We start from the raw sequence: 26,598 nt of genomic DNA, 5'->3' as shown, positions 1-26,598 counted from the left end.
TTTCTAACTCTCCAACCCCCAACTAGGACCTCATTTTCATTTTACACCACAGGCTGCATATCCCCAACCTACTATTGTTTTCTATAGAAAAATAAAGCTGTCCTTTTTTCCTCCATGGATCTCATGGTCTTTTGTTACATGACAAAAATAGGCTGTTTAATATTTTACTCATCTAAATTTTTAATATCTGATGTTCACTTTGACCATCAACATAACAAGAAAATACTGTACAGCATAATTTTATATTAACACAATTCACTGTAGTTATTAAAAAGTTTGAACAATGATTATCCACTAGCCATAAAACTCTCAACAGTTTAATAGCAAATAAACAAAGGAAGGTATCACACTTGGCAAATACAAAATGACTATTTGTCCATTGTGTCTGTGCAACTAAAACAGATTTAGGTTCCCCATTGGTACAAAAGGAAAAACACACAAAAAAAGAAGGAGATTCCTTTTAAACACAGAGCTCTTTGCTCCAAACTTGTAACAATTTTTTTTTCTTTTTACATTCACTACACAAACTCTGTGATTAGATAAGAAAAGTAACAAGGGCTATTCTTTTTTTTTTAACTGTCAACTTTTTGAAGTGTGTTATTGAATAATATTTTTCAGGTATACAATTTTAATATGAAACATTTTAATCAAAAGCAATCTGACATTAAAATACATAATTTTCTTTTTAGAAGAAAAAATGAGGAAATAAAAAAAAGAGGCATATCTAGATCCAGCAACCGAACCTGAAAGGTAAATATTAAAAATACTGCATTTGGTGTTTTTGGTGAGCTAATTCCTTTTTTACAATTTGTGGGACTCTATTTAAGGAAAGGAATACAAAATTAGGTGTGAAGTAAATATCTGGAATGAGAAAATAAATTACAACTAAACACTAACTTTAAAAGGCTAACAAATGCCAAAAACATGAATTTCAAAAAGAAGAGCATATCTTTATTAATTGCCTAATCTATCTCTATAATGCTCTTATTTTCTTACATTTCTGGCTGCATTTCTTGATTTCCTCTTCATATAACAATTTTGCAACATTAAGAGAATAGAAAGATAATTTTATCTTTTTACTACTGTGTTTGATCAATTTTTAGTACTGACAGTGTAGGCCAGGCACGGTGTCTCACACCTGTAATCCCAGCACTTTGGGAGGCTGAGGCGGGCGGATCACTTGAGGTCAGCAGTTCGTGACCAGCCCGGCCAACATGGTGAAACCCCATCTCTACTAAAAATACAAAAATTTGTTAGGCATGATGGTGCGTGCCTGTAGTCTCAGCTGCTCAGGAGGCTGAGGCAAAAGAATCACCTGAACCTGGGAGGCAGAGGTTGCAGTGAGCAGAGATCACACCCCTGCACTCCAGCCTGGGTGACAGAGGAGACTCCATCTTAAAAAAAAAAAAAAAAAAAGGCAGTGTAGAGAGTTTATATCAGCTTTATAACTTCTTTATAACTTATTACTGATAATGTCATATACATTCTTAGGAATATTATCAAATTTACGAAAACCACAATCAAGTTCCAAGATTTAGAAAAATTTTCCAGACTAGTTTCTCACTCTAAACACTTAAACGATGTTTCTCTTCCTCTACCTCTACCACAAAGAACATATTTATAATGCTCTAAGACCCTTGCCCCTACTGAGTTAGGAGGCAGGACTTGACTCTAGAGACAGGTTCAGACACCCAATTAAATTGAGGACTAGCTGAAAGATGATTAGGCAGAAGAAGCTTTCCATCAGACACACCCACCAGTGTGCCATGTCAACACTGCTATGAGAACACCCAGGAGTTACCACCACTTTCCATGGCAATGACCCAATGACCCAAAAGTTACTATCCCTTCCCTAGAAATTTCTGCATAAACCACTCCTTAATCTGCATGTTATTAAAAAAGGGTATTAATAACTGCCCTGAACTGCTACTCTCTGCCTACGGGGTAGCCCTGCTCTGCAGGAGCAGTCACCGAGCTATAACACCACCAGAGCTGTAACACTGCCTGTTCAATAAATCTATTTTCTTCTACCTCTGGCTTGCCCTTGAATTCTTTTCTGGGCAAAGCCAAGAACCCTCACGGGCTGAGCCCCACTTTGGGGCTCACCTGCCCTGCAAAACTACATCTATGTATCACAAGGCCAGGGAAGTAGACACAGTGGACAGTAATAACATTCCTGGAAGTAATGCCTACAAAATAACTGGACACATAAACAACTGCTAACCATATACTATCTCTAAATGTATCCTCTACTCAATTTTCCCTTAGCTCAGGCCACTCTAATGCCACCCAATATGAGGGTATGATACAGGGAAAGTCTAAGTGAAAAGGAATAGCAGTTTTAATGGATTAAATACCTAACTTTTGCAAATCTTACCCCGCCTCACCCAAAATATTATGTTAACACATTGCTTGAGATTCTTCCAGAGTCTTGGAAGGACCCTGAAACGTAGGTTAACTGTCTACAAACTAAATCCATTTCTATTTCCTAACCTAATCTGAACACTTACTTTCTATTCCTTTTACCTACAGAAACTGTCAGAATAATCAGACTCATTTCCTCAATGACACTTTGCTACCTTTAACATATATAAGATCTGTTTTCTAGAGCATGATCATCTCCAACTTCTACACCAATTAAATTAGGTGCAGTGACACAAAAATTGTCTTCTATTCCTGTTTTAATTGTGTCTCAACAGTAATGCAAGCCCTACAGTGCCTTTCTATTTACTTCAGACAAAGATAAACACTGCAGATCCCAGTTAGGTTTCTTTCAGTGATAAGTATCGTTTAAAAGAAAAAAACTGTTAGTAGCCTTAAAAAGTCCTTGTTTCACACAGCCTAATAAATTCCCTCTAATTTCATGTAAGACCTAGTCCTGAGGCACAATAGCTTTAGGAATGGGTAATTTAGAAGTTCAACAAGATCATTAAGGATCCAAGTTCTCACCATCTTTTCACTGTGCCATCCAGTGTTTTGGTTTTATCCTGACCTAGGCCCCAAATAATTCCAAGATAGCTCTCACAATTCCAAGAACCCATCTAGATAGAAACATCCAAAAATGAGGGGAGAGGAGGTGTTACCTTTCCAAGAAGCCCCTCCACCAAACCTCCCCTCATGTCTCATTGGCCACAAATGAGTTATTGGTCAGATATCAGTCCTATGTTCAGGTCTTAATTAATGACTAGCAAGAAAAATGGGATAATCATGAGTGGCCTAGACTATACAGAATTTACTCACATCACACGGTAAAGAGGTGAGTCGACAAAAAAAAAAAAAAAAAAAAAAGTATCTGCCACAAGGAAAACAGCAGTAATGAATGGCTGTGGAGTAAGCTTCTTATTAAGTAAATTGGATAGCTAATTTTGACATTAATTACAGACCTTAGCTATGACATAAATCTGATTACAGGAAAGGGCTAGATGATGTTTTAGATTCATTACAACTCTTATGTTCTACAAGACAGGCAAATAATATAGTGGTTAAAAGCTTGAGTTTTAATGTCAGATTGTCCTGGGTTTGAATACCCATCCACCACTTATTTGCTGTAACAATCTTGGTCAAGTTATCTTCCCTTTTCTGAAAATCCAGATAGTAATAATATTTAACTCATATTGCTAGGAGAATTAAATGGATGATGAATGCAAAATGCTTAGCATTTTACCTAAACTTCACAGGAAGTAATCAATAAATATTATCATCAGTCTATAACATATAAACTATAATTATTATAATTTTTGTACTACTAATTTAGAATTTGTGATAACTAAAACACAGGTTATTTCAAAACCAGAAAAATTATTGATTCTACCTCCAATATATGATAAATAACAAACTGAGGATTTGAGAGGTTTAATGACACACTGAACAGCTATCTCTTCCCCCTACTCCTCCTCCTTTCTCTTGAATAGGCATCTCCTCCACTTAGAATTTAAATGCCTCCAACATTCCCTTAGGTTTACTCCTGCCCTCAATATTACAAAACCAAATTCATTGCTTCCCTCAACCATATTGCTTTTCCTTTTGAAGTTAATAGTACCAGCATTTAATTATGCAGACACTAAACACAAAACTTCAAAATCTTTTTCAACGCCCTCTCTCCATATGGATCACTCACTAAATCCTGTCAGTTCTAACTCTGGACCAGGCATGGTGGCTCATGCTTGTAATCCTAGCAATTTGGGAGACTGAGATGGAAGAATCGCTTGAGCTCAGGATTTTAAGACCAGCCTGGGCAACATAATGAGACCTTGTCTCTACCAAAAATAAAAATAAAAATAAAAAATTGGCCAGCCATGGTGGCACACATCTGTAGCCCTAGCTGCAGTGAGCTGTGATCATGTCACTGCACTCCAGCATGGGTGACAGAGCAAGACCCTGTCTCAAAAAAATGAAGCAAAACAAAAATACCTCTGAATTTGATTTTTAATCCATCCCTGTGTTCTAAAGTCACTACTACTACTACCCTATAAGAGACCCTCATTATTTCATTCATATCTATTATGAAGTTTTCAAACTGGTATACCTGCCTTTCCATAGCCTCAACTTCTCACTACTTCATCCTGTATTCTATCAACTATCTTTGTAAACTGCAGACTAAGTATGTTTGCCTGCTGAAAAATCTTCCACAGGTCCCCAACTAACTGTAAAATAAAAAGCCAACTTTAACCTTGTATATAAAACTTTTCACAATTCGGCCTGAACCTACGTTGTAGCTTCTTCTTTTACCTCTCCCTCCATGACATACCCAGTGTTTTACCCAAACTACACAATATCTCACCATTCTCCAAACAGACCTTGCCTACTTCTGTGTGTTCATGAAGAACCCTCTATTTGGGGAATAGGAGTAACTTCTCCTTTGATCTCCCTATACCCGACTATTTCTACTCATCCTCAAATATTAGTTCTCTATGATAGCTTCTTGCATACCTCACAGCTAGAGAAAATTACTGTTCTTGCAGAATATTATTTGTAATTATATCATAGCCATCATCACACTATATAATAGCTAGTTACTGCCTGTCTATAACTCCAAATAGACTGAATTTTTTTCAGGGCCAGGTTGTATCTTACTCATCTCTGCATTTCTAGTACATAGAGTAAGCATTCAGTAACAACTGGTAAATGGATGAATAGGGAGAGAGTGGCGCAATAAGTCTTCAGAAGCTCTTGTACTTCACATATTACTAAAAATACTTATTGAATAGGAAATTTAAAGCTCAATTCTACATTCTCTATTAGAGTATAAACTATGAGTGCAGGAAAATTACTGTCTGGCACTGTATTCAGTGTCTAAAATAGGGCTTTACACATAGTATAAAACTAACAAATATTAGTTAAATGAATAAATACATGAATTGATAAATTGAAGAACTGAATGATCTGGTAATTTGCGTATGACAGGATAACGGGAAAACCCTTTCATTCATTTCTGGTTGAATTTCTCAACTATTTAAACATCACACATATCTGTGTATCTAAGAGCAAGATTCTACGATGCCACATATCTTATTTGGAAGAAGGTGATAATCTATCAATCAGTATTTATTGCTTCAAATTGGCTCATTTTACCATTCATTTCCTACTTAAGCCCTATAGTAATTGAACTTTGTAAGACCTATGTCAGGCCTTAAATATATGATGAACAAATAAAACTGTGTGTGTGTGTGTGTGTGTGTGTGTGTGTATGCATGTACATGCATATACAATAAAACAACATAACATCTCAATTTCTTTCTGAAAGTCTTAAGGATATAAACTATATACAGAGAAAAATAGAAGCATAGACACAGTGACACACGAATGCCCCACTCACAAATGAAAACAAAACAAATATTTTGCAATGATCCATTTACTTCTAGTGTTTTGGGCTTTCAACTCTATAGTCATAAAAAATGTTCAAAACTAATAGTAAGAACACTATTTTCCTCTAGCATGCCTAAAAAACATTAAAGAAAATAAGAAAAGCTAGAGCCTTCCTCCCACTAAATACTTTGTTAAATTAAGAAGAAATATGTTTTAGTGTAGTCATCATTTCAGTAATTATATTCCAAAGAACCCTATAACTTGTAAAACCAGCAACAACCGAAGAGAATTTCACACAAATTTTGGCCATGGAATACTTTATTGGAAGACATGAAAAATAGATAGTGGCAAAAAGCAGCAGAAAATATTTATAATCATAAAGCAATGAGAAAATATACACCAAAATATCATCAATTCATTTATGTCTTCCAGTGGGCTTTATCCTCCTTTCTAATGTTTATCATCCTTTTCTCTGCCAAATTTCTGCTACCAATCTATCATCTCTTCAAATGGTTTGCAATAAAATGAACAAACAAAACTCATCCTCCTTCAAGGAGAATTGATGTCAGTGATCATGGTGAGACCACAGATCCATAAAATCTTTAGGTTAACAGAGCAGCTGATATAAAAGTAGAATACATCTGCTAAACCAACTGCCTTTTTATACTTGTTTAAAAAGTTATTTTGAACAAGTATACTCAAACACTTAATAAAAGAATTTGAAGGCTGGGCACGGTGGATCATGCCTGTAGTCCCAGCACTTTGGGAGGCCAAGGCAGGCAAATCATGAGGTCAGTAGATCAAGACCACCCTGGCCAACATGATGAAACCCCGTCTCTACTAAAAATACAAAAAATTAGGTGTGGTGGCACGTGCCTGTAATCCCAGCTACTCGGGAGGCAAAGGCATGAGAATCGCTTGAACCCAGGAGGCGGAGGTGGCAGTGAGCTGAGATTGCACCACTGCACTCTAGCCTGGTGACAAGCGAGACTCCACCTCAAAAAAAAAAGCAATCTGAAAGGTCATGTAACCCAATTAACCCTCCATCTACTGATTCATTTGCTAGTACTCCTACTAACAGTCAATAATCTGGTCTATGCTTTAATGCCTCATAAGAAAGGGAACTCACTACTTCCAAACAAGCTGATTCTATTTTTGTATTTCTTTACTACTAGAAAGTTTTCCTTTATTGAGCAAAAATCACTCAGTCCATGTCTTCTACACGAAGGAAGCCCCTCAAAGGAAGAGGGATATTATGTATATCCTAATTATCTTTCTTTGAATTAAAATTACGCAGTTTCTTTATGACATAGTTTTAAATTCATTCAACAATTAAAAGGAGGGGGTTAGAATCTACCACCCCCACCATGAGGCTCAACCTGAGAAATAATACATATCCATCAAAAAAGCAGCATATGTGTAATTATTATCCTCTTGATAAAATTTTTAAAATTTTAAAACAGAACACTTGTTCTTCTGTAGGTGGGCTGCCATAAATGCCCAGGGAAGCTTGTAACCAATGTTTTGTTGTTGAAGAAGGGGGGAAAAAAAGGAAAAAAGACAGTAAAAGAGTCTCTAAAACACAAGAACCTATTTCTTTGCCCTCAACATTATTCTTTCTGACGCTAAGGTTACACTGTTTCATATATCAATTCCCTTTTTCTAGACATTTTTTGAGTTTAAAAAAACACCATTTTATTGTTGTTGAAAAAGTAGGTCAATATTCCTAATTTACTCATGTACTTAATAAAGTTAGTTAAAATATCAAATGAAGAAACTGTTAAAGGAGCTGATGGTTGGTATTAGGTTGAAGAATATCTAAACAGCAAAACTGCTAATAAAATATATCAGGCCAGGCAAGGTGGCTCATCCCAACATTTTGGGAGGTCAAGGCTAGCTGATCACTTAAGCCCAAGAGTTTGAGACCAGCCTGGGCAACAAAAAATACCCTTCTCTACAAAAAACACAAAAATTAGCCAGGCATGGTGGCACGTGCCTGTAGTCCCAGGTACTCAGGAGGCTGAGGTGGGAGGATCACTTGAGCCCAGGCAGTGAAGGCTGCAGTGAGCCATGACTGCACCACTGCACTCCAGCCCCCGAGCCTAGCTGACACAGCAAGACTCTGTCTCAAAAAAAAAAAAAAAAAAAAAAAACTTAAAAAAAAAAAAATCAAAAAAAGCCAGATGTCAGTGATCCAAGAATCAGCTAAGCCAAAAACTGGATGAGTGTACTTAACTAAACTAACCTCTCTGGGCTCATAGTATTCTCATCTATGAAATGAGGATAAAGAATTAGGATCATAAGTTCTCAGACACTTTCATCTCAGGACCACTTTACACTTTAAAAAGAGTATCGAGTAATTCAAGGAGCTTTAATATCTAGCCCTAGTTATCATATTAGAAGTTAAAATATAACTTTTTTAAATATTTATTATTTTAAGAATAAATTCATTAAATGTTAATGTAACATTTTATGAAAATAACTATTTCCAAACTAAAAAACATCTTAGTGACAAGAGAAGCACTGTTTTATAATCTTTGCAAATCTCTTTAATGTCTGGCTTATGAAGCCAAAATTATAGGCCACTGTTTTGAACAAAACTCCTACACTAGGCTCCAAAAGAAGACCAGACTAAAAATCAAAATGGAGTCACCCATGCTCACCAAACCCAAACTGAGTTGTTATCTTGACTTTCTAAAAAATCAGGAGAGACAGATAACAGCCTAATATCCCAAACAGGACAATTTTCAATATTCAATGCACATGATAATGAAGTATTCAATGGGCATGATAATGAAGTTTCCTCTGTTTTAATCCCTAATCTGAAGTAACCTGATATTAACCAGTCTTTCTATTGTCCTGTCTCCCCATCCAGACCTTACAAGAGAATTCACTTTGAAATGACCAATCTGCTTTCTTCAGCCCTTTCTGTCTATAAAACCAACCATCTGCTCAACTCATTAGAACACACACTCTACTTTATGGAATGAAGTATTGCCTGATTCTAGAATCACAATAAAGCTGACTGAGATCTTTAAACTAAATTTGTTGTAACTTTGTCTTTTGACAGAACTGCTAGAGTTTCATATAACTTGTACATTCAATCAGTATGGCATGGTATGCAACCTCTAGAAAACTCCACCTATGCTCATGAGAGAATGAGAATGAAAAGGGTAAACACAGTCTTAGTATTACTTTGAATATAGTTCTGCCCTCACAGAACTTCTGTCAAGGTCTTAAGGACCCCTGACCCCCCCCTCCCACAAGAGGCCCTTGAATCACAATCTGAGAACTCCTGGACCAGACAATCTCTAATACTGATGCAGGCTGACAATAATATTTTGATTTTTTTTAACCTGAATATACACTTATCCTCATCATGACAGAATGCATCATAACTGTGATATGAGATTCCAATGAGATGATCCTTTTAAACCCAACTATAAAAAGTCATTTCAGAAAAGCATAAGATAAAAAACTGTAGAACAGAGACCAGGTGCAGTAGCTTATGCCTGTAATCCCACTTTGGGAGGCTGAGGTGAGTGGATCACCTGAGGTCAGGAGTTCAAGACCAGCCTGACCAATATGGTGAAACCCCATCTCTACTAAAATTACAAAAATTAGCCAGGCGTGATGGTGCATGCCTGTAATCCCAGCTACTAAGAAGGCTGACACAGGAGAATTGCTTGAACCTGGGAGGCAGACATTGCAGTGAGCTGAAATTCTGCCACTGCACTCCACCCTGGGTGACAGAGTAAGACTCTGTCTCAAAAAAAAAAAAAACAAAAACAAAAACTATGGAATGAGGAATACTTGTTGTCACTAATACTAATATCAATACTTGGCATGACAAAACTATTCATTTATATAAAAAATATATAGGGTCATCTACTACATGTAAAGTATTGTGATAAGTGGAATGAGAGAAAGCATGAAGAACTTTATGTTTTTGTAGGAGGGATCTGATTTATATTCCAAAACTATAATCCAAAGTTAAAAAAGACAAATGCTATGAAACAAGTTCAAATAAAGCATTATAGTAGGTCCTAATCTTAAGGGTATGTATGAGGATTATGTTAATATAATTAGTAAAATATTCATTCAAAAACAGTACAGGAATACAATAAAATCTACTATATATATTTACTGGCCTATAGAGAGATGCTTCATTCTGTTACCAATAATTGAACATTAAATTGAAAGTTATACATGTACCCTTCCAGAAGAAAAATTCAAATGCAAGATTTAAAAGCAAGTTTAATCTCTAATTTCACACATGCCAATAAAATCACTGACAATGATGACTTTGGCAAATACTTATAACAAGCATCTACATGACTTTTATGGTTCAATCTCATGACCAGAGAAGAATACAGAGTGATAATAAAATCAGCGGGAAAAAGACTACATTAAAATCCTAGAAACACTTTTAAGAGCTGGCTAAATCTTTCCAGCTTTACTGAAAAGTGTATTTCATTAGCTAACTAACCATTTTGACTCTAATGGATCGTCATTCAATGGCTGCATCTAAGTGAACACTGTACCACATAGTTTGCCCTCTTCCTAATACAAAAATTAATTTAGAAGAGTCATCTCTTTCCTTTGTAAAAATAGTGAATTCAAGCCTAAGTTTCTGGGTAATAATTACAAACACATAAAAAAATCAAAATGTTTCCCTTAATTTGTAAATCACAATGTAACTCAAATGAGATAGTAATATTGTTTACTTAACAATATAAAGAAATCTTGAAACAAATTTTGGTAACACATATCTAATAAATAATTTCATTTTTCATGCATATACAGCTATGAAGTTAATAAAATTTGCATATAGGTCAACTTTTCAAAAAATCTACTTAACATTTAGACTAAATAAAAGGTTATCTGGCATATTAACTCTGGGAATTCATCTTTACCTTTATCAAGATAAACATACAGTACTAAACACAAGTTTAGAATATTTGAATGCTTCCTTCCACTGAGCTCATCTACACCCAAAATACAATGCCCAAATATTCTAGATCTTCCATACACTTTTTTGAAGTTCTATATTCATTTTTCCTACTTATTGTCGCAGATAAAACAGGCGAAATAGCACCATCTGGTGGGCATCACTTTCGTTTTAAAATAATTTTCTAAATTTACCTTATGAATACTTCTTTGAAAAAACTGCATAACAATTCTAAATCATTTATAAAGTACTATAAATAGTGAAGTAGCTTGGTTACCAAGAAAAATATATTTGAATATTGAACCAAGGTTGCAACATTGCTTTGGTTTTTAATTATTGAGAAGTTAAACATTATTGTAACAATGTAATTATTGTAAAGCTGAAATCTCCTCAGAGCTTAACCTTGTGGTGGTATTAGTTTTTTTTTAAGGTGTCGATTTTTAATACAAAAAAATTTACATTCTTTATATACAGGTAATACATCTATACAGTTCAATGGAGAGAATGAAATGTGAACATAATCTTCAAAAAAGATAGTGTGGTCTTTATTTATGTTTAAAAAAAATTTTTTTTGAGACGTAATCTCACTCAGGCTGGAATGCAGTGTGGCGTGATGGCTCACTGCAACCTCTGACTCCTGGGTTCAAGCGATTTCCGTGCCTCAGAGTCCCAAGTAGCTGGGACCACAAGTGTGCACCACCATGCCCAGCTAACTTTTGTATTGTTAGTAGAGACGGGATTTCACCATATTGCCCAGGCTGGTCTCGAACTCCTGGCCTCAACCTCCCAAAGTGCTGGGATTACAGGCAGGAGCCACTGCGCCCAGCCTTAAAATGTGATTTATTTCGATGTGTCTAAATAAGCAACTGAAATTAGTCCTGAGTACTAACAGTGTGCTGAATAATGGTCAAAATATAAATTAGGCCACAATTTTATGAACTAAAACAGACACATAATACCTATGGAAAGGAATATAAACAAACTGAAAACAAAATCAGAAGAAATAAGATGATGTTACTTAATTTGGTACATTTCATATCAGTGATGCAGGATTTTTCTTGGTCCCTTCATTGGACTTGCAACAAGGGCGACAGTTTACTCACGCCACAGCGCTCAACCCCCTGCAGGAGGGAGCATGTTAGCAAGAGAGTGCAGGACCTGGCCGGCTGCTCCAGGAGCCAGCGAGAGAAAGCTCCATGCAGGTCCCACAGCAGCACCCAGGTGAGGGTGCCCACGACCCCAAAACCCCAGAGAAAGTGTTACAGTGGTCTTTTAGCTCTGCCGTCTGTCTGTGTGCATGTTAACAGCTCAGTTGGTCCCTTACCACATTGCGTGGGGTGGCTGCCCTCCGCCAGCGAGGGCAAAGGGCCAGTATGACAGCCTTTTTGGGTACCTGCACTCCGTGGGTTCTGAGTTCTTGTCCAGTATCCAAGAAGAAGGAAGTGATGCAGACACTTGAAGGATGGTGAAGGTGGAGAATTTTACTGAGCGGTGGAAATGGCTCTCAGTGGAGAGGGGAGCTGGAGAGGGGACGGGAAGAGTAGGTGGTCTTCCCTGAAGTACAGCAGTAGTCTCTTCCCCGAAGTCAAGCCATCTCTTTTCCCGAAAGTCTGGCAGAATCTCTCCTCTCTACCTACTGAGTCCGGGGCTTTACAGGCACAGGATGCGGGTGGGGCAGGCCATAGGTAGCTTTGGAAAAGGCAACATTCAATTGGTAAAAAGACATTATTCAGAAAGAACCAATCAGGACAGTGCAGGCAAACAGGAATAGAAGTTCTCACTTTGGGCTGCTGGTTTCAAGCTTTTCACCTTGGAGGTGGGGTTTCACCAGGGACCCACCCCTATTTGCCTATAATTTCTCTGCCTCCTGCTTCTATCATCAGCATTTTAAAGCTGATTAATAAAGCCAAACAAAAAGGTTGCATATTTCCTAAATGTACTTTTAATTATCTAAAATAACACACTAAAATATATTTTTCCAATAACTGTTGGTTAATCACATACTGTGTTACCCCGTGCTAGGCACTGAGTGTACAATGGAAAACAAACACAAATAAACAAAGATATAAGCCCATTCCCTTATGGAAATTACACTGCAGCTGTTTTGGTTGTTTTTTTCTCCCCAAACTGTCTGAACACCTTCCAGATAACAGCAATTCTCCCTTCTAATTATGATGCTTTTTCTTAAAGTAAAGGAATTAAACATCTCAACTTGTACAACTTTTATATTTAAAAAACATGCTTGCCATTAGCATACTTCAACACAAAAGAGTTAAAGCAAAGTTCATCTCTGCTTCTTGCCCTAAAATTACGATGTACTCATAAGAACAATATGTTTGGTGGAAAATGTTCATAATATGTTGAAGGCTTTAAAGCAACAGAAACAAGGATAGCTGAACCAGCATATAAGAGAAAATCAAAAACCAAAGGCTCAGAAGGAAGGGAAGGCAGAAATAAGAAGCAAACAGGTTTATTTGCAGAACCACCATAAAAACTCAGAAATTTCTAAAGGTATGAACTATACATCTATACTTTAGAAGAGACAGATTAAATAAGAGACTTCTGGGAGCAGTAGCACAAGCTATAGTCCCAACTACTCAAGAGGCTCAGGCAGGAGGATCACTTGAGGCCAGGAGCTGCAGGCTGCTGTGAACTATGATTGCATCACTGCACTCCAGCCTGGGAGACAGAGCAAGGCCTTGTCTCAATCAATCAATTAATCTTGTTCTAAGAGTTTTATCGGCTGGGCGCAGTGTCTCATGCCTGTAATCCCAGCACTTTGGGAGGCCGAGGCGGGTGGATCACTTGAGGTCAGGAGTTTGAAACCAGCCTGACCAATATGGTGAAACCCCGTCTCTACTAAAAATACAAAAATTTGCCGGTCATGGTAGCGTGTGCCTGTAGTCCCAGCTACTCAGGAGGCTGAGACAAGAGAATTGCTTGAACCCGGGAGATAGAGGTTGCAGTGAGCTGAGATCTCGCCACTGCACTCCAGCCTGGGCAACAGAGAGAGACTCCGTCTCCCCTCCCCAAAAAATAGTTTTATTTGGATGTGTCAATATTGGTTCATCAATTGTATCAAATGTACCACTCTGGTGGGGGATGCTGAAAATGGGGGAGGCTATTCATGTGTGAGGGCAGGAGGATTATGGGAAATCTCTGTATCTTTGCTCAATTTTGCTGTGAATGAACCTAAAACAGCTCTAAAAAGTAAACTTTACTAAGAAAAAGTTTAAAATAAAATTCCCACAGATTGATATTACACCGTATGCTGAATCATCTCAGGAATTAAACTTAAATAATGGCTTCTTTTATTCTGCTTTACAAATACTGACAATGGATAATTATTGACAGTGATAATGCTGTCAAACAATATGAATTCCAAATCAGTCTTACTGATAAGTTTTGTTTTATAGTATCAATAAAACATTCCAGATAAAACAAAGAAGACAGTTAACAGACCTATGTCTCCACACCGGAGTTTCCCAGATAGTGAAACCTGAAATCAGCAATAAAAAGAAGTGCTTCATATCATATAATACTAATTTTTCCAAATAACTGACAATGGGTTTTAAAGGTTAAGATGTTACAGTTTTAAAATAAATATTTTTCCCAGGCCCAGACAAAACATGAAAATGCATATAATTTTCAAATATACTTTATAAGACCACAAGTATATAGTGGTCTAAGGTAAGAACAATTAAAAAGACCCTCAATTATATAAGTTGACAGAAACAGTGACACGTTATCACACACTAGGTTCTCAGTCAAATCAGTCAGTCAACAAATACAATGGCCTACAAGTCTTAGGAATATAAATGACAGTTTCTACCTCTAAAAAATATTTGCTAATTTCCAAGTATTTGATGAAGTTTCCTTTAAAAAACATAATTTTATACTGTCTTAACTCCTGAGAGCATAATTAGGACCAAAAAAGAGAAAGAAATAAGACATACATCATAGTAACAGTTTAAAGGGAAAATTTCAGCATCTGGGAGAATGTACTAAAACACACACACACACAGACACACACACACACACACACACACACACAAAATAAAAGGAAAACACTGACAGGCTGACAAATACCTACTTCCCAGGAATATTTTGATAGGATTATATATCATCTTTAAGAAATGACAGCATTATTACTGTTATATTACAAGTCTCACACATCAACAACAAAATGCTGTGCACCAGCCTGGACAACATGGCGAAACCCTGTCTCTGCTAAAAATACAAAAATTAACCAGGTATGGTGTTGCACACCTGTAATCCCAGCTACTTGGGAGGCTGATGGACAAGAATCACTTGAACCTGGGAGGTAGAGGTTGCAGTGAGCTCAGATCGTGCCACTATACTCCAGCCTGAGTGACAGAGTGAGACTCTGTCTTAGAGGAAAAAAAAAAAAAGCTGTGCAAAGAAATGAAAAGCATAAATATATGCTCACATTCAGATTTATGAAAGTTAAGGCAGGACTTTCTATTTTAAAAGATTTTTACATACAAAGCAAATTGAATTTTTGTGGTTTGGTTATTACAAACTGGTTCAAAGATAACTAAATAGAATATTTTATTAATAATTATACCCACTAATATACTAAACATCCTTACATATTGAGTATTAGAACATGACAGCCTATTTTGTTTTTTCCAGAGATTATACAATTTTACTTTTATTGTGTCTTTTTTTTTTTTTTTTTTTTTTTTTTGAGACAAGGTCTCACTTTCTCACCCAGGCTGGAGTCCAGTGGCGCAATCATGGCTCACTGCATGCAGACTCAACCTCCCCAGGTCAAGAGATCCTCCCACCTCAGCCTCCTGATAGCTAGTACCAGAGGTACACACCACCATGCCCTGGCTAATTTTCAAATTTTTTGTAGAGAGGGGGCTCTCACTATGTTGCCGAGTTTGGTCTCGAACTGCTGGGCTCAAGTGATCCACTGGCTTCGACCACCCCAAAGTGGTGGGATTACAGGCATGAGCCACTGTGCCTAGCCTATTCTTTCTACAAGGTTGACTGACCCCATAGCCATTGTCTTCATCCAGAGCTAACCAATGTCTCTTTGCATAAGAGATAATACTTTTCATCTAACGGAGATCTAATCTTACCTTTGCTGAGTGACTGAGTAAAACAACTCCAAACATCAAGTAACAATTTATACTACTCCATAACATGTGTTGATAGTTACATTCGATTATAACTGAATCTAAAATTCTCAGAACTACCAAGCCTTAAAGCAAAAAGAAAAAAAAAATAAGTAACTGCAGGAGAAAAAAGAAACAATATTATATTCAGAAGAAAGTAGAAGTATGACTACTGTCCCCACTGTGATTTCCTAAAACTTTACAGCATCTCTTCTCAGTTAAAAAGTACTCTCTACTAAAAATATGAAAAAATTAGCTGGGCATGGTGGCTGGCCCCTGTAATCCCAGCTACTCAGGAGGCTGAGGCATAAGTATCATTTGAAACTGGAAGGTGGAGGTTGCAGTGAGCTGAGATCGCACCACTACACTCCAGCCTGGAACAGAGCGAGACTCCGTCTTAAAAAAAAAAAAAAAAAAAAAAAAGCACTAGCTAAAGTGGCAGTTTTCAATGTATACTATTCTCCTGAATGTATTTTTCTATCTTCTTTGGTTTAGAGACAGTAATTTTGTTTGTTTCTTTTTAAAGGTGCCCTGCTGGGTTGCTTAGAATAAAACCAAAGAGCCTGAAAATTATGTCAAGGCAAAAAGAAACAATATTTCCCATGAGACCATAACTTTGCAGGTTCCCTTTCAAGTCTGAGGGTAACACAAATCTTCCATGCTTTAAAATATATTCACTCAATTTTACACATTTTTATATCTTGGTTACTGTCAGGAAATGTGTTTAAAATTCTAAATTTAAAATTTTTAAATTTTTTTAGTGCACAAGGTAATTAGGAATAATTACGATACCAGAAAATAGTTTTAGAAAACCTCTTACTGAGGCCGTTTCTAAGTCTGGCCCTGGTTCCTGTGTTCCCAGGAAATCTGACAGGCCATTTCACTTAAACATTGTGAGCAATTCACTATTAGTTGCCAAGTCAACAGCCATTTCCGCGTTGCCAGTGGAGCTCTAATTTTTGTTCAGTTATAAGGAAGCATGTACTTCAGAATATGCTAATTAATCATGATAATTCTATTTTCTTTGCCAGTAACTGGTTTAGGAATGTGTGTGTGATAAGAATCTACCAGAGTACTTCTGGGAAACCTTTTCTTGCTCTTAAAAAAGAAGACGGGCGGACAGACAGGCGCGGTGGCTCATGCCTGTAATCCTGGCACTTTGGGAGGCTAGGCTTTTATTTTTTTGAGATGGAGTTTCACTCTTGTTGCCCAGGCTGGAGTGCAATGGTGCAATCTTGGCTCACCATGACCTCCGCCTCCTGGGTTCAAGCGATTCTCCTACCTCAGCCTCCCGAGTAGCTGGGATTACAGGCATGCACTGCCACACCTAATTTTCTATTCTTAGTAGAGACGGGGTTTCTCCCTGTTGGTCAGGCTGGTCTCGAACTCCCGACCTCAGGTGATCTGCCTGCCTCAGTCTCCCAAAGTCCTGGAATTACAGACATGAGCCACCATGCCTGGCCCCTTTTAAAATATTTCTGCTCATTGATGATGCACCCAGTCACCCAAGTGCTCTGATGGAGATGTATAAGGAGATGAATGCTGTTTTCATGGCTGCTAATACAACATTCATTCTGCAACCCCCAAATCAAGAAGTAATTTTGACTTTCAAGTCTTATTATTTAAGAAATATATTTTGCAAGACTATAGCTGCCATAGACCGTGATTCCTCTGATGGATCAGACAAACTAAAATGAAAACCTCCTGCAACGTATTCATCATTCTAGATGCCATTAAGAACATTCGTGATTCATGGGAGGAGGTCAAAACATCAACATTAACAGGAGTTTGGAAGAAGTGAATTCCAGCCCTTGTGGATGACTTTGAGCGCTTCAAGACTTCAGGGAAGAAGTCACTGCAGATGTGGTAGAAATAGCAAGAGAACTAGAATTGGAAGTGGAGCCTGAAGATGGATACTGAAATGTTGCAATCTCATGATAAAACTTGAATGGACAGGGAGTTGCTTCTTATAGATGAGCAAAAAAAGTGGTTTCCTAAGATGGAATGTACTCCTGGTGAAGATGCTGTGAACACTGCTGAAATGACAACAAAGAATTTTGAATATTCCATAAACTTAAGTTGATAAAGTAACAGCATGGTTTGAGAGGACTGACTCCAATTTTCCAAATTCTACTGTGGGTAACATGCTATCAGACAGCATTGCATATTACAGAGAAATTTTTCATGAAAGGAAGGCTCTGACACAGCAAACTTCATTATTGTCTTATTTTAAGAAATTGCCACAGACACTCCAACCTTCAGCAACCAACATCCTGATCAGTCAGTAGCCATCAACACTGAGGCAAGACCCTCCACCAGCAAAATGATTGTAACTTGCTAAAGGCTCAGATGATTGTTAGCATTTTCATCCATAAAGTATTTTTATGGATTAAGGAATATACATTTTTATATACAATGTTATTGTATACAATAGATTACATTAAATTAAGGCATATACATTTTTTATACACAATGTTATTGTATACAATAGATTACAGTGTGATATCACCACAACTTTTATATGCACTGGGGAATATAATCTTCATGTATTTCTCTTTATTGTGATATTCACTTTATTGTGATAGTCTAGAACCAAACCCCCAATATCTCCAAGGTGTGCCTGTATAGGAAAACCAGATTACTATATAAGTGGTTTATGGATAATGAAGGGTAGATTTGTTATACCAATAAAATTGGCCTATCCTTTAAAGCAATTATCTGGTATCAAATTTAGTCAAGGCCAACAAACAAAAAGAATAAGAATCATTCTTGAATTTCTTTGTGCCACAATACACACTGTACGTCTGTTTGAATAAACTGTATTATAACAGAATAAAGATGTTTAGTACTAACAAAGGCTTCAAAGATAATTATCCACACAAAATTGTTTAAAAGCCTACTCAAGCATAATCCTAAGAACATCCTTCAATCTACTTAGAAGAAAATACAGTTAAATTTTTAGAAACTGAAAGAGCATATGTACTTCAGTTCTTTCTTATCCTCATTTGTATGTTTTAGTCCCTAGCTTTATGGTTGAAATCAGTTCGCTCATTTTTCTAAATTCCATGTTGCAAGTCAATCATATTTCCTCTGCCTTCATTGAGCTTACATTATGTCTGAGAAAACATCTTTGAAGAGCTAATTATACAACTTACAATTTAATATAAAATGGTTTAGGGGAGTGTCTTAGTTTGATTGCTACGGCTTTTAACAGAAACCTGAGATTGGGTAATTTATAAAGGAAAGAAACATTAATATGTTTCTCAGTTCTGAAGGCTGGGAAGTCCTAGAGTATGGTGCCAGCTTCTGCTCAGCAACTTCTTGCTGCATTATCCCATGGCAGAAGGCAAACAGCAAGCAAGTGCTTGAGGGGCCAGACTCACTTTATAACAACCCTCTAAGAGATAACTAACCCACTCCTGCATTAATGCACTCATGAAGGTAGAGCCCCATGATCTAATCACCTCTTAAAGGCCTCCACCTCTTATTACTGTTACAATGGCAATTAAATTTCAACATTAGTTTTGGAGGGGACAAACATTCAAACCATAGCAGAAAGAAAGGAGAAAAAGTGGTGGTAAAATAAGTAAGCTCACTCCCACACAGGAAAATTGGTAGACTTTGATAACAAAGGATTTTCCAACAACAGCATAAACTCATAGAACTCATATATGTGAGCAGGGTGCAGTGGCTCACGCCCGTAATCCTAACACTTTGGGAGGCTGAGGTAGGCAGACCACTTGAGTCCAGGAGCTCAAGACCAGCCTGGGCAACATGGCAAAACCCCATCTCTACTAAAAATACAAAAAGGAGCCAGGCGTGGTGGCACATACCTGTAGTCCCAGCTACTTAGGAGGCTGAGGTGGAACGATCACTATGATCATGCCACTCAACTCCAGTCTAGGCGACAGAGTGAGACCACCTCTTAAGAAAAAAAGAAAAAGGAAAATTTTTTTAAACCGTAAATGTCAAGAATGTTTTCCTGCAATTCTCCACTAAATTTCTGGATCTTGCTAAGATTTTCTCTTTGCTCTTTCTACCTGTTGTAGAAGTTTGCTTTCCCCTTCTCTACAAGATAAAAAAAAAAAATCCCTTATGAACATTTTCCCACCCAAGTCAAACCGGAAAGTTTCAGAAAAAAAAAAAAAAAAGGGATAATTTCAAGTATCCAGCTAAACGTCAAAATTTATTTTTCCCCTAGGGCTTCCATCAGGCTTTACTCAACACAGACCTACAGACCTAGAAATCACACCTCTCTCTAGCCTTCCTAAATAAAAAAGCATTAAAGTTATAGGAATGTTTGAAGAAAGTTTTATTTTGTATATGTTATTAAAACTTTGTGTGTACAAAGTGAAACATTTTTATAAATGTTACATTTATACTTTTAAAAACCCACTTGCAACTGATTAGAATACAAAGTAAAATTTTACAGGGAAATGTTATAGATAATGTTTAGATCACTTTTCTAAATTATTGAAAAAGTCCAGTTGCAATCTTATTGAAGTTCTACAGAGGGAGCTAGTATCACAAAGAATAAAGTTATAATACATGAACTTCAAAAAAAGACCTAGTCTGTTGGAAATATCAGATTACCATTCATCAATATGAGCTCACTTTATCCTCTAAAGTTTTACCTTAACAATTAGCCAACTCAAAATAAAACACAGTATTACCTACAAATTGTGACGTATTTCTAGTGAACCATACTAAAACTTATAAAATATAATTTCCATGAAAAATACCTTTAAATACTTTTCAAGTAGGTATGTTCATAATGAACAATATCACTCCTCCAAAGAAGTTTTTTAAAAAAGGTTCCTAAGTCACTGAACTTATACAAAATGGAAAGCAATCAAAAAGATCTAAACAGTTCTATCCTTTTCTTATATAAACCAAGTTACGAAGTCTCTTCCTCATCTGTAAAATGGGAATGATTACAATATCTGCTTCACAGAGTTGCTGTGGGGATTAAATTAGATCACAAAATAATTAAAACAATGCCCTTCTTCCTTGTTCTTTAACATGTATTATTTAATTGTTCAACACTTTCCAAAAAGAAATCAACATAGAGTTTTCAAGGTTAGATTGGCTGCTAATAAATACTAAAAGTTCACTCAAGACCCCCAAGTCTATATCATTCCCAAAAGGTCTGACTCAACCCTTAAGGGGAAATAGTGTTGGCATAACTCTTACATTAAAATCTGCCATAGCTACATTCTCAAAATATTTCTGTTTGTTGTAGACCAAGAAGAAAGAGAATTCATCACACCAGCAGTTTCTCTCTCCATTCTGTTACCCTCAATAAATTTCATCCCATAAATATATCTTGTCAAGTAAATTGCAGTTAAGGATCAATGAACTACACTTTGACTAAAGTGCTCTGAATAAAGTTTCTAGGAAACACCTTATCCTTCCCCCTAAAAATTGACAGGAAAGATCATTATCCTTTTTTGTTATTGTTGAAGAGTTTTATGCTAGAAATTCAGAAGCTATACCCAGAGGGATCACTGAACAGACTAAAAGAGAAGTAGGTAATGAAAGAAATCATTTGTTTAATGGACAATGACAGAAAAGCACTAATCTAAACCCAAAATGATATCGGAGGAACTTAAGTTTGGAAGACTAAGTGATTAAACAAAGTTAAGGTATTAAACTATGTCAAGAAGGAGTACACTTCCCCTAATTTCCTCTCCTATATGGTTTCAGCTTAAGATATGTCACAAGAGAAATTTGCAAAAAATTTAGGGGATGCAATTGAAGCAGTAGCCATTACATTCCAAAGGCAGTCATTGGTTAGAGGCAGGAAGGACAGACACAAAGGTATGGGCAGAACTGTAATCTGTCCTTACTCATCCCCACTCTACCTTACGTCCACAACTACCAGGACCAAGCCTATCACCAGATTTTTCACTAAAGGCCCATAAAGGTGGTAGTTGCAAAGAGCCCACAACACACGAACCTCCTTCACAGTTTCCCTATTAACAGAACACGCAATTCATTAACCTACATCAAAAGGCAGTTTAGCGATTTTTCTCTCACATTTTAGGGACCTTAATATCCCCAGTTTTTCTCATGATTGAATAAGATTTAATTCCTGTAATAAATTTCTTAATATCATAGTGGCATTGAATTCTAACTAATACCCCAAGACTACAGCCTATGGCAAAACTCATACATAAACTAAGTTTCTTCTAATGCTAAGTCCAGGGCACCATATAGTGCTTCATAAGTAGAAGGTAGCAATTTAAATTAATTCTTTAAGGATTTTAAGATTTTACCACCAATAACACACATTTTTCATTCACCTATCGTTCATGAATATAAGACCATGTTTAATCACAAAATTATTCCTTATAGGCCAGACGCGGTGGCTTACGCCTGTAATCTCAGCACTTTGGGAGGGCAAGGCGGGTGGATCACGAGGTCAGGAGTTCGAGACTAGCCTCACCAACACAGTGAAACCCTGCCTCTACTAAAAATAGAAAAATCAGCCGGGTGTGGCGGCGTGCGCCTATAGTCCCAGCTACTTGGGAAGCTGAGGCAGGAGAATGGCGTGAACCCGGGAGGTGGAGCTTGCAGTGAGCTAAGATTGTGCCACTGCACTTCAGCCTGGGTGACAGAGCAAGACTCCGTCTCAAAAAAAAATTTTTTTTTTAAATCCTTATAATGAGTTACCTTCCTTGATGACAGTGTTAATTATTTTCTGTTTGTTTTTTTTTGGGGGGGGGGGGTGCGGGGGGGTTGTTTGTTTGTTTTTTGAGACGGGTTCTCACTCTATTGCCCAGGCTGGAGTGCAGTTGTGCAATCTTTGCTCACTGCAGCCTCAACTTCCTGGGCTCAAGCAATCCTCTCACCTCAGCCTCCTGAGTAGCTGGGACTGCAGGTGAGTGCCACCATGCCCAGCTAATTTTTTTTATACTTTTAGTAGAGACAGGGTTTCGCCACGTTGCCAAGGCTGGTTTCAAACTCCTGAGCTCAACTGATCTACCTGCCTCAGCCTCCCAAAATGCTGGGACTACAGGCGTGAGCTACCACACTCGGCCAATTATTTTCTTTTAAGCAACAAAATATTTAAGCAAATCTTTCCGAAGTTTTATAATCCAGGTATAAAAATTTCATAGAAGTTATGAGATCCTAGAATTTTACAGTAAGATCACAATTAAAAGTTCAGCAAAAGAGGTGAACTCAGATCTCAATTGGTTGAGAATCATTTGTAGATTATGTATAAGCCTGAAATGATCTCAATCAACTCTAGTTTTGGATCCTTACGGAAGTAACCTGACCACCTGACCATATCAGTAAAAGAAAAAAAAAAAGACAAACAAAAAAAAGCAGCAAAGAAATCTAACACAGATTTAGTACTTACTCCTGGAGATGCAGCCTTATAAGCACAAACGGTAACTCTTATTACAATGAACTATTTAAACCTTAGTTTAAAAAGCAATACAGTGAAAAGGTTACCTTACAAGTATTATGACTACATACAAAAATAAACTTTAAAAAAAACTTTTCTTGGCCAGGCATGGTGGCTCACACCTGTAATCCCAGCCCTTTGGGAGGCCAAGGCAGACATATCACTTGAGCCCAGGAGCTCAAGACCAGCCTGGACAACATGGCAAGACCCCATCTCAACAAAAAATACAAAAATTAGCCAGGTGTGGTGGTGCACAGTGGTAGTCCCAGATACTCAGGAGGCTGATGGGAGGATTGCTTAAGCCCACAAGGTCAAGGCTGCAGTGAGTCATGATCACGCCACTGCACTCCAACCTGGGCAACAGAGTTAGATCTTGTCTCAAAAAAAAAACAAAAAAAAAACTTTTCTTACATGAGAGGCATTTATAGCTCAGGATAAAATTTCCAGCGAAAATATCATACATAGAAAGAGGCTGATGTGTTCTAGAGAAAAGGGCTCCAATGATGACAAAGTTGCTAATGATGAAGATTCTGAATAAGACTGTTCAAAGAAATGGGAAGGAAAAAGAAAAAACTAATTCTATTTAATATGTGGTTGTAAAATGTATACATTTGACTTACTTCATGAGCACACCTAAGAGCTTTTGTATCAAGCTGACCAAATAGCTTTGTGTTGCATCCTCTCCTTAGAAGAATGTAAAGTGCCTTGTATTTGGAAGTAATTAATTCTTTTCAACTCACTCAATATTGGTTATAGGTCTGAAGTGATTTCCAAAACCAAAACACAATACTGTGAAACTGATTTAATTAACTAATGAGTTCTCTGTGATCCGTTACCAAGTCTTGCAATGGATATTAATCCCTTTAAAAAAAAAAATTACTGGCGGCCAGGCGCGGTGGCTCACGCCTATAATCCCAGCACTTTGGGAGGCTGAGGCAGGCGGATCACCTGAGGTCAGGAGTTTGAGACCAGCCTGACCAATATGGTGAAACCCTGTCTCTACTAAAAATATAAAAATTAGCCAGACGTGGTGGCAGGCACCTGTAGTCCCAGCTACTCAGGAGGCTGAGGCAGGGGAATCACTTGAACCTGGGAGGCGGAGATTGCAGTGAGCCAAGATCGCGCCACTGTACTCCAGCCTGGCAACAGAGTGAGACTCCGTCTCAAAAAAAAAAAAAAAAGTTACTGGCTGGGTGCAGTAGATCATGCCTGTAATCATAACACTTTGGGAGCAGAGGCAGGAGGACTGCTTGAGGTCAGGAGTTTGAGACCAACCTGAGCAACATAAGGAGACCTCATCTCTAAAAACAAGACTGTAGTGAGCCATGATCATGCAACTGTTTTCTAGCCTGGGTGACAAAGCGAGACCCTGTTTCAAAAAAAAAAAAAAGACTATATACTTAGAGAACTGCTTGGTGTGACAAAAACAGCACTTAAATGGGACTCAGGAGACTTGGTTTCTGGTCTAGTACTGTCCTTAAGTAGCAATGTAAACTATAGCAAGTCATTTTATCAATGTTACTCTCACCTTATTCATGATAAAATACGGATATTGGTTCAAGGGTTCATTTCTAGAATCAAAATACTATAATTTTAAAGATACAAAAAAAACCGGGCCCTGAGAATAGGATCATAAAAATGTTTATGATATTTTTAAAACTGTACCTTATTTATGAACACTAAAAAAAAATAAGCATTTAACCTTGCTGTCGGTCCTAGCTTATTTCAATTTTGACTTTTTGCTTCACAGGATTTTTTTCTATTAGCTTTACAGATATCCAGTTCTTAGCTCATTCTTACCAAAAAAAAAAAAAAAAAAGATTCTTTTAACAGGGTCTCATTCTGTCACCCAGGCTGGAGCACAGTGGCACGGATCATAGCTCACTGCAGCCTGGACCTCCTGGTCTCAAGCAATCCTCCCACCTCAGTCTCCCAAGTAGCTGGGACTACAGGCAGGCACCACCACATCCGGCTACTTTTGTTAACTTTTTGTAGAGACAAGAGTCTCACTATATTGTCCAGGCTGGTCTCCAACTCGTAGACTCAAGCAATCCTCCTGCCTCAGCCTCCCAAAGTGCTGGGATTATAGGCACAAGCCCAGTCTATGATCTTGATGATTTCAAAGAACTGCTAAGTCACAGCATTAACAATTAATTTAAGAGCATACCAGACCGGGCGCGGTGGCTCACGCCCGTAATCCCAGCACTTTGGGAGGCCAAGACGGGCAGATCACGAGGTCAGGAGATCAAGACCATCCTGGCTAACACGGCAAAACCCTTTCTCTACTAGGAATACAAAAAATTAGCCGGGCGTGGTGGTGGGCGCCTGTAGTCCCAGCTACTCTGGAGGCTGAGGCAGGAGAATGGCGTGAACCCAGGAGGCGGAGCTTGCAGTGAGCCGAGATCACGCCACTGCACTCCAGCCTGGGCGACAGAGCGAGACTCCATCTCACCAAAAAAAAAAAAAAAAAAAAAGCATACCAGATGTTATTGTCTCTAACTTCCCTGACATATCCCTACACATTCCATTTAAATACTTATAACTTTCCTGCTGGTTTGGAAATTGACCTATTCACTAAGAAATTACATTTTTACACTGCACCAAAGATCATATCCTGAGCACGTCCTAATACCCTTGAAGGTTCATGCCTATTGCATAATTTATTTATTTTCTTCCATCTCATCATAATCGTAAATTGGCAAGCATTTAAATATCACAATATAATTAACTTTTATAAGACAACATTTAAAAATTTAAGGGGTTATTCTGACAAAATAATTTAATTTTTGACATTAAAAAATCATAATGGAATTCATTCACTATCAGAAGGGAAAATACACTTCATATTTAGAACAGTATACACTGCTTACAAAAGTTCACTGTTTACCTTGGTAGCTATCTTAAAAAGCCAAGTAAATAAATGTGAATCCCTTTTAAAGAGATTTTCCCCTTGCCTTATAGCAAACAAAAAAAAAATCTTCAGATACCAGGTTACTCTGTGTTAAGTAGTATGGATACTTCTGAATTTATTTATATTTGCATTTGGAATTCACCCCTAACTCCAGACAACTTTTAACTTTCCTTACCTAAATCTATATGATCAGATCTCATAATCCAAGGTAATACAAAATTTATATATTCATAAAATAGATATTCATGGAAACAAAATGGTTCTATTTTCAATAACTGCAGATGTGTCCAAAGATTTTGAAAAGCCACTATTGGAGAGTAAGATTCCATTTATAAATAAAATCAGTATCTTTTACTTTTTCTTAAACCGC

At 37.3% G+C, this 26,598-nt stretch overlaps 1 protein-coding gene and 1 long non-coding RNA gene across 14 annotated transcripts in view; both read right to left on the bottom strand.

The window, feature by feature from the left end:
• Positions 1-26,598, bottom strand: part of ADK (adenosine kinase) — a 558,070-nt gene that overhangs the window by 454,108 nt on the left and 77,364 nt on the right. The gene's annotated exons all lie outside the window — the stretch shown is intronic.
• On the bottom strand, positions 306-25,117 carry LOC124902456 (uncharacterized). The gene is made up of 2 exons (XR_007062198.1): positions 14,219-25,117; positions 306-12,445 (listed from the first exon to the last, which is right to left on the bottom strand). It is a non-coding gene; the product is annotated as an uncharacterized LOC124902456 (long non-coding RNA).

Source organism: Homo sapiens, chromosome 10 (assembly GCF_000001405.40).
Source record: "Homo sapiens chromosome 10, GRCh38.p14 Primary Assembly".
Classification (NCBI taxonomy): domain Eukaryota; kingdom Metazoa; phylum Chordata; class Mammalia; order Primates; family Hominidae; genus Homo; species Homo sapiens.
The sequence above is the reverse complement of the archived record's forward strand: the minus strand, read 5'-3'. Positions and strand labels throughout refer to the sequence as shown.